The 12,271-nt window shown below is 36.7% G+C and overlaps 1 protein-coding gene across 10 annotated transcripts in view; it reads right to left on the bottom strand.

The window, feature by feature from the left end:
• NDST3 (N-deacetylase and N-sulfotransferase 3) overlaps positions 1 to 12,271 on the bottom strand; it is a 225,313-nt gene that overhangs the window by 8,722 nt on the left and 204,320 nt on the right. For all 10 annotated transcript variants that reach the window (NR_146513.2, NR_146514.2, XM_006714416.4 and 7 more), the window contains 2 exons: positions 9,219 to 9,389; positions 7,764 to 7,873 (listed from right to left, as the gene is read on the bottom strand). Coding sequence is in view for 8 of the 10 variants with exons in the window: in XM_006714416.4 (XP_006714479.1) it covers positions 7,764 to 7,873; positions 9,219 to 9,389 (281 nt within the window). In the remaining 2 variants the exon portion in view is untranslated. The remainder of the gene's footprint in view (positions 1 to 7,763; positions 7,874 to 9,218; positions 9,390 to 12,271) is intronic.

Genomic DNA, 12,271 nt, shown 5'->3' with positions numbered 1-12,271 from the left:
TTTTTTGGATTATACCTTTTTGTTCTATATCTTGATTCTGGTGGTACGTACAACTGTATATATTTGTATTCATTGAACTGCACAATTACAATGGGTGATTATATGTAAATTATACATTAACAAAGCACTTAAAATGATAGTGTGATCTAATGTGTGTGTGTGTGTGTGTGTGTGTGTGTGTATGTGGGGCTGTAGTCTATATGTAGTTAATCTTGTAGAATTTATAACTCTAGCCCTATGAAAAGAATACAAACCTAGATTTCTGCCTCTGTATGACTTTGTGTATTAGAGAGAATAATCACTTTCCATTTACGTAAAGCCTGTTTCTCATCATTATTAAAGCAATTGTGTCAGATCAGGACACAACATTTTATGTTTTCATGCTGTTTATGGTCTTGTTTGAATCGGTAAGGCAACTGAATAAATTAGTGCTATATTCAGAATTACAAAGAGATCATTAATAAAGACTGTATTATTTAAATAATCTGTACATGAAAGCCTTTGGGAAACTTTAATACAACATTTCTGGAAGTCTGTGATTGATGTAATATTTTTCATTAACATTTTGCTATCAGCAATTTTCCAAAATTGAATTCTGACTCATTTTAAGTATTCAAGTGATCAAAATTCAGAATCCAGAGCAGCTATTACTTTTTGCTAATATACCTTGCTGTAGATAACGTAACTGGAACATACATATGCTGTGTATTAAAATGAGTAGTCTTCTGAGAGAAAGTTTTTCTAAGAAGCACTGAACTCCACACATGCTAAAATTAAGAATCAAAAGAAAAATAGGTTTTTCTTTTATGTCGGCTAATTAATTAGATCTTATGCAGCAGGTGTCATGCTGGGCTTCACTGAGAAAAACTGTGTGTGTAGCTGGCACCTAGCCTAGGCATCTGTGTGCATACCCTCATAGGCAATGGTATAAGTGTGTCAGGATGAAAATGAGAAGGAGAAGCTAGAAGGGAAAGCATGTTTATTTACCCAATGGCCTGAGGGACTGGGTCTGGTCCTTCATGGAGAACCATCATAGATGAAGGGACTGCTGTTCATTGAAGGTCTTATGAGTTTGGGACACAAGTAATACTATTTCAGAGCCCAAATGAAGAAGTGTAATAGAAGATGGAGAAAATCTCCCCACATCTATTCAGAAAGCAGCAGTGTTTCTCTGAAGTCTGGTGGAACAGCAAGGAAACTATCTTTTTATGTAAGCACTGGCAACCATTGTCATGGCTGGGGCCCTCCTTTCAAGGCCTTCAGGCAGTGAACATTTTGGAGGAAGTGTTCATATATTGTTTAGTGTCCGCTTCTAGGGCTACCCTAACCTGGAGGTGGGGATACTTTGTTCATCATTGTGTCTCCAGAGTCATGCACATAATTATTCAATAACATTTTGTTGATTTAAAGAGTAAAACAAGAATGGGTAAGAATGGTTCTAAAGCTTGTGTGGAATATCATCTGGGATATTTAGAAATAACTGTAAAAGACTTGTGGGCAGGGGCACCAAGATTCTCCAATGATTCAACCTCTAAACAGTGACTTTTTTTTTTCTTTTTTTTGAGATGGAGTTTTGCTCTTTCGCCCAGGCTGGAGTGAAGTGGTGTGATCTTGGCTCACTGCAACCTCAACCTGCTGGATTCAAGCAATTCTCCTGCCTCAGCCTCCCGAGTTGCTGGGGTTACAGGTGTGCGCCACCACGCCTGGCTAATTTTTGTATTTTTAGTAGAGATGGGGTTCCACCATATTGGTTAGGCTGGTCTCGAACTCCTGACCTCAGGTGATCCACCCGCCTCGGCCTCTTAAAGTGTTAGGATTACAGGCGTGAGCCACAGTGCCTGGCTGACATTTTTATATTAATGAAAACATGACTTTATTTCTACCCTCGTGCGGGTTAATCGTACAAAACATTCAGATTACACTTAGAAGACTAAAGTATGTCTGAAATGCCTTTACATCGAAAAACCATTTCTATGGGTGAATACTGAATTGAAAATAGCAATTCAGTAAATTTCAAAATCAAAATACCATCATTTAGATATTACTAATATAGGATAGGCATTGCAGTTTTTTAAAATCAGTTCTCTTTTGGCAAACACGTTTATGATTTAAGGAATCATTTTACTGATATGCATTTTATTTTAACAACTTTTTTAAGGTATTATTTACATATTGTTAAATATACAATTCAGCACTATTTAGCAAGTTTATATAGTTGTACAATTATCACCACAATCCAGTTTTAGAACATTTCCACTATCCTTCCAAAACCCATATTTTTGCAGCCCATTGCAGTCAATCCCTGCTGTCATCCCTAGTTCCAGATAAAGTCTTTCTTTCTTTCTTTCTTTCTTTTTTTTTAGACAGAGTTTCACTCTTGTCGCCCAGGCTGGATTGCAGTGGCGCGATCTTGGCTCACTGCAACCTCCACCTCCTGGGTTCAAGCAATTCTCCTGCCTCAGCCTCTGGAGTAGCTGGGATTAAAAGCCTGCGCCACCACGCCCAGCTAATTTTTGTATTTTTAGTAGAACTGGGGTTTCACCACGTTGGCCAAGCTGGTCTCGAACTCCTGACCTCGGGTGATCTGCCTGCCTCGGCCTCCCAAAGTGCTGGGATTACAGCAATGAGTCACCATGCCCGGCCCAGATAAACCTTTTCTAACTCTACATTTGTCTCTTTTCTGGACATTCCTTTTTTTTTTTTTTTAAACCCCCCTGGTGTGTGGATATAACAAAGCCATGCACCAGTTGAAGAACATTTGTATTGTTTCTAGTTTTTAGCTATTATGAATAATGCTATCATTCCCTTACTAGCTTTTATGGACTTAGGTTTTCATTTATTCTGGGGTAGATTCCTAGAAGTGAAATTGGATTGTTGAGTGAGATTCTGTTTAGTTTTTAAGAAACTGCAAAACTGCTTTCCAAAGTGGCCATATATTATGCATTATCATTAGCAGTATATGAGGATTCTAGTTTCTCCACATATTTGCCAACATTTGTGATATGGTTTGGCTCTGTGTCCGCACCAAATCTCACCTTGGATTTTAATAATCCCCACGTGTCAAGGGCGGGACCAGCTGGAGGTAATTGAATCATTGGGGCAGTTTCTCTTGTGATAGTAAGTTCTCATAAGATCTGATGGTTTTATAAGCATCTGGCATTTCCGCTGCTGGTATTCATTCTCTCTTCTGCCTCCTTGTGAAGAGTTGGTTTCTGCCATAACTGTAAGTTTCCTGAGGCCTTCCCAGCCATGTAAAACTGTGAGTCAATTAAACCTCTTTTCTTTTTCTTTCTTTCTCTCTTTTTTTTGATGGAGTTTCGCTCTTGTTCCCCAGGTTGGAGTGCAATGGCGCAATCTTGGCTCACTGCAACCTCCGCCTCTCAGGTTCAAGTGATTCTCCTGCCTCAGCCTCCCAAGTAGCTGGGACTACAGGTGCCTGCCACCATGCCCAACTAATTTTTTGAGTTTTTAGTAGAGACAAGTTTCTCCATGTTGGCCAGGCTGGTCTCGAACTCCTGACCTCAGGTGACCCATCTGCCACGGCCTTGCAAAGTGCTGGGATTACAGGTGTGAGACACCCCACCCAGCCTAAATCTTGCTTCTTTATAAATTACCCAGTCTGGGGCATTTCTTCATAGCAGCGTGAGAATGGACTAATACAGTAAATTGGTATTGTCTTTTGGATTATAGCCATTTTAGTGGGTATGTAGTGGTATTTCAATGTTATTTTAATTTGCATATCTTTATGATTACATATTTATGAAGAAAAGTGACATCCAGTGCACCTGGAAATGGATTTTATTCATAATAAAATCTGAAACAACTTCCATAGCTCATTTTAAGGCTCTAGTTCTTTTTAAGGAAGCACTTCCTGTTAATATGCTATTCACTATTAAAAATTCACAGTATTGTTTTTCTGTGGTTCTAACATCCTGTGCCAATATGAAGAGCTTAACAGGTTGGCAATGTAGGTTCCAGAGATAACTGATTGAGTTTCAATCCTGCCTCCTCAACTTACTTGCTGAGTGACCTTTGGCTTAACTTTCCTGTGCCCCAGTTTTTTTTAATCTGAAAAAATGGAGCTAATTGTACGTATCACATTGTGTTTTTATGAAGAGAGAGAGATATATAGGACATATAAATGTATATTTATTTTGAACTGTTACAACCACTTAAAAATTTATAATAAGAAATTAGAATAGACTATTTTTTTCTTTTCCCTACTCAGCATTTCTAGGTGTTCTTTCATGCCATCCAGAGAACCAGCAGATTTTAGTTACTGTGGCTACTATAATTTGCTAATAAGAAAGTTTTAGTGTAGTACATTTGTACTAAAATTTATCTACAGTGGGTAGGAAAACAATTCCCGGGCAATATAAATTTCGTTGCCAAGGAAGTTATATTAAAAGCTATTGAAGTCCTTCTGAATTTTGAAGCAGCTTCAGTCCTTCGTGACTTAGCTAACCTCTGTCCACAAAACAAACAAACAACTATACTCAACTCTCGGCTTTCAACTTCTCATTGCCCATTTATTGACATTTTCAAAGTAAATTAATACTAAAAATTCATATAACATAGTCTGGTTTCATTCATCTTGACAAATAGGTTAACTGACTGAGACATAAAGATGCCAGGTTCAGGTATTTAGCTAACTAGTATTTCTAAACATGAAGACATCTGTCATTGGCATTGATGGCTAGGTATTATTGTGAACAGATGTATTCATGGCAAAACTAAAAGTTCATATTTTTCATTTTAGTGTATACAAATTAGTACAATTCCATGCTAAGCATTGTTTTTCCTGTCTTATTTCAAATGATTGCTTCAAAACACTATATAACATGTAACACAAAAACTAAAGTAATGTTAATATATTAATCCCATTTAGGGATTAAGGGTATGTGGAACAAGAGTTGTAAATTATAATTTACTTGATTGAATGAGAAAGTTCTTATTTATATTTTTAAAGCTTATTTTGCTTATTTCATTCACACAATCACTGAGAAAATCAGATTATTTAACATTAAATATGTCATTTAACACCCATGATAACAGTAATAAGTCATTTTAAGACATCACAGATTCTTCAGTGACTTTGTATATCTTTAAAAGTCTTGAACGCTTTCTTTAGCACTTGTGGAAAAGAATAAACAACAATCTTGACATTGGGGGCTTATTGTGATTCTTCTTGAAAATAGTTTTGATGCTGAAATTTGCTATATGGAAGATAATAAGTTTAGAGATATCTTAAATTGGAGTACTCTTTCACACCAAGATTGCATAGCAAAACATTTGTATAGACCTTGCTTCATTCATTTATTCTACTACATGCAAAGCACTAGATTTATGTAGTTAGTTGAGAATTCATATTGGTTTACAGTTTACTATATCCTTAGAGGACTTCCAATGAGAAAAAAAAAATTTTAAGCACCAATGAGATAGTCGTCATTATCACCAGCAGGAAAATAAGAAGAAAAAATAAGAAGCAATACCAAAGTGTACAAAGTATACAAACTGGTATAAATGGCATTTCTGACGATATATATTTTGTACCTCTAGTCATCCTCAGTATTTCCAAAGCACTACAGAAACAGCTATCAGTATAGTTACTCTAATAGGAGTAACTAAATTGTGAAGACAGGTTTCAGATAAACAACTACAAAGGGCATAGGGTGAAGGATGATCAATTTAGACCCAAGACAATGACATGAAACTTCCAAATATTCTACAACTAGTGCACTGCCAGGTTTTACAAGGTATGTCAGGCCAATTGATGATTGACAAGAAAATATAAAAAGAAATGGAATGGAAACACAGTATCTCCACCTGCAGGGTGAGAGCCTGGGTGGCACTGCTGGAATAGAAACTGTGGTTTCAGGGACTACACATATCTTATCTTGCTATTTCACCCACTGAGCCCCCAACCAGGTTAGAGAATCATATAATCAGTAATTTTAGCTAGATACAGCTCAGGTGCAAACGGACTACGGTTCTTTGTATATAGTATGTTGCTTTGATATTCTCTTAAGTTTACACTGCCTTTTCTCAGCAGTGGAGATGAATAAAAAGCTTGCTGCTGAGCTGGCTGCAGAGGGGACAAATACACAGCATGCAGGTCAAGGACCATCCCATAAGAAAAAGCAACTCTGTCTTTATAGAATACTGTACTTCTTTTTTTCTGAAATACAATGCTTTGCTACATACTCTATAAAAAAGACCCACAGATAACCTAACTTGAAATAGAAAACTGTTTAGAAAATAAAAGCTTTCTTTTCCAAGAGATGCTTAAAAAGATACAGAACAGAAAATGGTCTTGAATTTTTAAGTGCAAACTGAAATCACTCAGCTTTCTTTAAGGTCAAGTTGAATGTTAAATACCTAAGGCCAGTGTCTGTGTTAGTACTTGAACTAAGCTATACAAAACTCTGACAGTACTCATAGTATAGAAAACACAGAGGTCAGAAGGTTAATAATAACAGCAAAGTATAAATGACTCTTAGGAAGGAAGCTCAAAACTGCAGAGTTCCACCTACTCCTTTGTCCTCTACAGCAAAATGCCTCCCTTACGTGTCTCTATATTTGATTTGTAGGAGATATAAGCAGTATTTGATGTTTTCCTGCTAATCTTTTTTTCCTGCAAAGTTTGTTGAAAGGTAAAGGAAACCTGCCTCTCACTTTCTAAATTGATATTAAAGAGTACAAAAAAAGGGAAAACTACTCGATCTGTGGAACTGAGTTTTATACTGAAAAACACAATGGAAAAATTCCATGATAGTCTTTTTCAGTTTTTTTTTAAGGCTCAGTCCATGTAATTAAAAAAAAACCAACTTACGGTGTGAGTCAGGTCCATGACCCAATCCAACTCAGTATCTTCCAGTTGCTCTACACATGTGGTAGGAACAAATATAATTCTCCTAAATCTGATTGCCAACTATTCTAAATGGACGCAGTAAGATAGAGGTCTTCTTCAAAAATGCTAAGTGAAGCCCAGAGTCAGCACTAGGGTGAGGTAAGAGAGGCACCTAGGACACAGCACTCAGTCTCAGGCATGGGCACACCTCCGAGAGTGACTGCCTTCTTCAGCCCTAGTTCCTTACTGGTCCCTGGTCATGGACCTTACAGAGTCAGTTACCTAAGAAAATCGGAGGAAACCAGCAAAAAACCATACAAACAAACAGAAAAATCAAACCAGTGCTTTAACTGCTGAGGACTCTGAAGCAGAGATGACAGGGTCAAATAGTGGATAAAGACAAAGATGAAAAAATAAAAAAGGACGTTTGTTTAGGAGCGATAATAGTACATCTCTCTCTGCTTATTCAATCACCTATGGACTATTTCTTGCTGTATGACATTGTTTCTGAAAATTACACAAATGAGAGAAGAGTCAGTTCCTAAACTACCTAGTTACTCACCTGTTCATACTTCCAAGAAGCCCCATATTGCCTGTTAAATAGGCTCAGGCTTTACGAATTTATTTCAGATAACTTCTTTTAAGGTTTGTGGTTTGTTTTAAGATTTACCACTGTTTTATTTCTCTACTTTCCTTTCAGGGAAATCTTTGTACAATTAGGAATTAACACAGGATTTAGGACATTTCTGTGTCACACTGTTGAAATGTTTTTTTTTTCCGTGGTTAATGTCAAATTGAAAAATAACCAGTATATAAGGAACAAGTAACCTGACAGTTGTATGACCAAACTGCAATTTCTTTGAAATCAATTCTCTGCTGAAATGTCAATAAACTAATTAGAATATAAACTTACGTTAAAGCTTCTGAGTAATTATAATGAGGCAAGACTCCTAGAAACTTCTGTACTTCATCCATCACTGTAGCAGGATCAGTTCTTAGTTGTTGCCCATCAATAATTAGCAACTAAATTATCAAATAAAAAAATGCACATTGAAAAAAGACATGTAAACTGTATAATGAAAAATTTCTGCATTCTAAACTCATTCAGTGAGAGACACTGTCCTGAGCAGAATTGCATGCATTGGTGTTAGATAGAATCCAGGTCATCCTCATTAATGACCTGGAATAAGAAATAAATCACACCAATTAAGTACACTCAGGTTTGCAGTCTGAGAAGTCACACTATGAAAACAAAAAAGGCAGTTGAAAGACCAAGAGAGCTTAGAAAAGTGACTAGAAAATCACAAATGGAAACCAACTTTCAAAACAGACAAAGCAGTGATCCTGTCATTCAAGCTGGAAAGTACAATAGAAAAGAAGAAAGGTTATAATAAACTCAGATGTAATCTGACAGAGAACATGTCATTCCTCACGATTCCTTTCAGGAATAGCACTGTCAGGTTTGAAGAAATATTTCGATAATCCATATGGAGAATAAGGTTAGATTCTCAGGAAACTTGAACATGGACAAAGTTCCTCAAGAAACTAAGAAGAAGTTGCTTGTTATGCCAAGGAGGGTGGACCCAGCAAGATGAGAGGAGACCAGGATTAAAGGCCACAAAGCCTGCAAAGCAGGTCTTGTCTATCCATACCTCTTCTCTGATATTTCTGTTTAGCCTAGACCAGCACTGTTCAATAGAACTTTCTGTGATGATGAACATGTTCTATAGCTGCTGGGTCTAACATTTAGCTATTGAACACTTAAAATGTGGCTAAAGGAACTGAACTTTTCATTTTATTTGATTTTAATATAAATTAAAATAGCCATATGTGGTAGTGGCTGTCATACTGGAAAGCATGGCTCTAGACTCACAGGTATATACCATGTCTGATGTGTCTGGATTGCTTACATGATCCCATGAGGGGCTGATTTTGCAATCTAGGTTGATGCCAGGCAGAAGAAATTCAAGGGGCTGAGAAAAACATAGGACTTATCAAAAATTCAGCAAGGTGGTTCAAAAAGGAAATAATGGCACTTAATTAAGCAAAACATTATTTGTCTTGTTTGGTTAAGAGGTTCTCTTTCAAACTTTATTCTCAGGATAAGAATCGTATCTAAAGCTTTCAAAGCTTTTTACAATCAGGAAAGGTACGCACAGCAAATAGAGCAGGGAGAATTATTCTGAAATACTCTTAGAAAATTAAAGTTTTTCTACTTCTGCCTATTTCTCTTTGCCATAGCCTCATTATTTACAACTAAAGAGGAAAAACTAGTAATAGTTTAACAATTGAAAATTTTCTTAACCTTAAGGCAAAGTCATCAACTTAATGAGATTCTAACATGATGTAAATCCTTATTACTCCATACCTGAAATGGGGGGAAATAAACAAGCCATCTCTCGATGTGGCTGGCATACCACCCCGGGACCAAACATCTCTTCTGCAAGGCTCTGAGCTCCGAGGGTGCACGGGGCCCTGCTGAGATCACTTCGTAGAAGCTAAACTTCAGAGCTGCAGGGTCTTCATGTGATCGCTGATGCTATGATGAAAAGGTGGATAATTAAACTAATCTGAACCGTAGGCATAAATAATTAAAAATCAATCTTTGTGACAAGTCTCAAAGCTAAAGAAAGAAGTGCCTCACTGCTGGAGAGTTATCTATTTTGAAATTAGTAAAGGAAGAAAATGTTTGCTTGGAGCATCAGGATTTAAAGTTATGATACTTATGGGAGTAAATTTTTGAGAATTTATCTGGTAGAAGTTGAATTCCTATCGATAGGATTCCTTCACCAGCATTACTGAGTTGTTTCCTTAGTGTATGTATTTTATTGTGAAAGTAAACTTTTGAAAGCTGTGTTAATGCCCTCTTTCCAGCTCATAAGCAAACCATTTATAGTGTCCAGTGAATATCTATAATAGAGAAGCACCCTACTACCTCTGCCAAATAGTTTTGCTCCATCTAGTAATGCAGTTTTAGATTAGAAAAGGCCTATCAGCTCTTTTAAATGAAGAAAGTACTAGAAAGTCTGACATGTACATTATCTGAAATCCACAGCTTTTATCATACATTCCCTGATATCTAAAAGCCAAGATTATTTTATCTAATGGTAACCTTTGCGGTGAATCAGAATCATTTATTGTGCAGAAAATGCAGAAAGCAGCAATCCAACAGGATTGCTCAGGCTTAGGCCCATGGGTTTGAGGAAATCACCTTTTCTTTAAATTGGCCAATAAATATTCAGGCTTAGTGGTGAGTTTGTGGATGTTTACCTCATCTAGTTGAATAGCAAATTTTCTGCAATTGAGATTCAAATCACTGGACTACAAACTCTACTAGACTTTGTTAAGGCCTGCATTTTGCCACTGTGATTTATTTGTAATATTTAGGACATTTTGTTAGCTTGCAGCCTTAAAGCCTTCTTTTTCTGTAAATTCTCTATTTTTCAGGGACTAAGTGGTTGCCAAGCTCCAATTTTCTTCTTTTTCTTGGAGTCAATTAAGGCTTATTTCTCTTTTCTCCAGATACTTGGTGGAAAAGGTAGAAGTTGCAAAATCAAATCAGGCAATTTGCAATTTGCTGTATGTTTTGATTTAAAAGATGGCTTCAGGTTTGGCGTGAATGATTAGTATAGAATGGTGGATTTTTATGGATCTTAGCTTTCCAGGATGTCTCCACTCGCTATTTTTCAGATTATTATCAAAATCCCTAAGATTTCATCTGCTTTTATGACCTTTCCCTACTATGTTCCTGCCACAAAACCTTTTCCAACAATCTGTTCTTCCTCTTGTGAACTTCAAAAACTGCTTTTGTTAAGTAGCAAAAGGACTCAGTAATGAGCAACTTTATTCTCTAATATTATGATTGTCAAGAACTTAGCTGTTTTAAATCAAATCAATAAGAATGGAACATCCCACTCTTGTAGGGAGGATCTAAGCTATGTGGGTCACTTTAACACAGGGAAGCAGTCATATATCCAGCCTATTTGCAGACTTCAGATTAGAGGTTTTTGTACATAGAACATTCCACGTTTGTCTTAACATTTTTGTTTCCAAGAAAATAGGACCCTCAGTCTGCTTTTCAGCACTGACCTGATGATAACTCCTTTACACAGCTCTGCTTTGCACCTATGAAAACACTTCTTCATTTTAATTTTGCCTAAATGTATCCCCTTACGTATCTTTCCCTTATTTAAGAAAGTGCCCCATGGTTCTGGTATTTGGGCTTCTCTGCGACAGCCTTTCCCAGGTGGTCTTTGTCAGGTGGGCTTTGTCATTCCGAAGGAGTCTGTATGTCAGTCGCTTATTACTTTCTAATTTATATGCTTGTTTATACATATTTCTCCAATTAGGCTGAAAGCAATTTCAAGTATAGCTTCAAATTTATTTTTCAAATCACACTTAGAACAAAACTTTGCACATGGTAGTCATTAAAATTACTTGATGAACGGATAAACACATGAACAGTAGGAAAGCATTTTTTAAGTTACAAAACTGAGAAATGAGAACTAAGGGTCCTAGAGACTAAAGACATTGACTCTATTAATTTTACTATGTTCTTATGTTAATTTTGACTGCTTCATATTAAACCCTTCCAACTGGTGGTTAAATTATCACCGAAACAAGTTTTAAAAGATTGTTTCCTATTTGCAATGATTTATTAAAAGTGTATTTGACATATATATTATTACTAGAGTTTGTTAAATTATTTCAAAGTGATCGTTTTTGTGCAAGGTTCTAACCAACATCAGAAAACAATGGCAATGAGTATACAAGAAACATTTAGACATGTTAGGCTCTCAGGGATGTAGAATTTTCTTTCTTTTTTTCTTCTTTCTTTTTCTTTCTTTCTTTCTTTCTTTCTTTCTTTCTTTCTTTCTTTCTTTCTTTCTTTCTTTCTTTCTTTCTTTTCTTTCTTTTCTCTCTCTCTCTCTCTCTCTCTCTTCTTTTGACAGAGTCTCCCTCTGCACAGTACATGCTGCAATCACAGCTCACTGCAGCCCCAACCTCCCAGGCTCAGGCAATCCTCCCACTTTAGCCTTCCAAGTAGCTGGGACCACATATGTGTGCCACCATGCCTGGCTAATTTTCTTTATTTGTAGAGACAGAGTCTCCCTATGTTGCCCAGGCTGGTCTTGAACTCCTGGGCTCAAACAGTCTTCCCACCTGAACTGGGCTCAAACAATCTTCCCACCTTCCAAAATGCTTGGATTACAGGCATGAGCCACCACGCCCAGCCTAAAGATTCTTATATATATTAGTTTTGCCACTAAGCTGTTTCTTTAGTACAAGTAGCTATTTAAGCTGTTTTAGAGCCAGGGTCAGCAATCTATGGCCTACTGCCTATTCAGTAAAGTTTTATTGGAACACAGGAATGCTTATGCATTTACATATTGTCTATGGCTGCTTTCGAAATACAATGGT

This window comes from Homo sapiens, chromosome 4, assembly GCF_000001405.40.
Source record: "Homo sapiens chromosome 4, GRCh38.p14 Primary Assembly".
NCBI lineage: Eukaryota > Metazoa > Chordata > Mammalia > Primates > Hominidae > Homo > Homo sapiens.
Note: the sequence above shows the minus strand (reverse complement) of the source record. Positions and strands in the feature narration are given on the sequence as shown.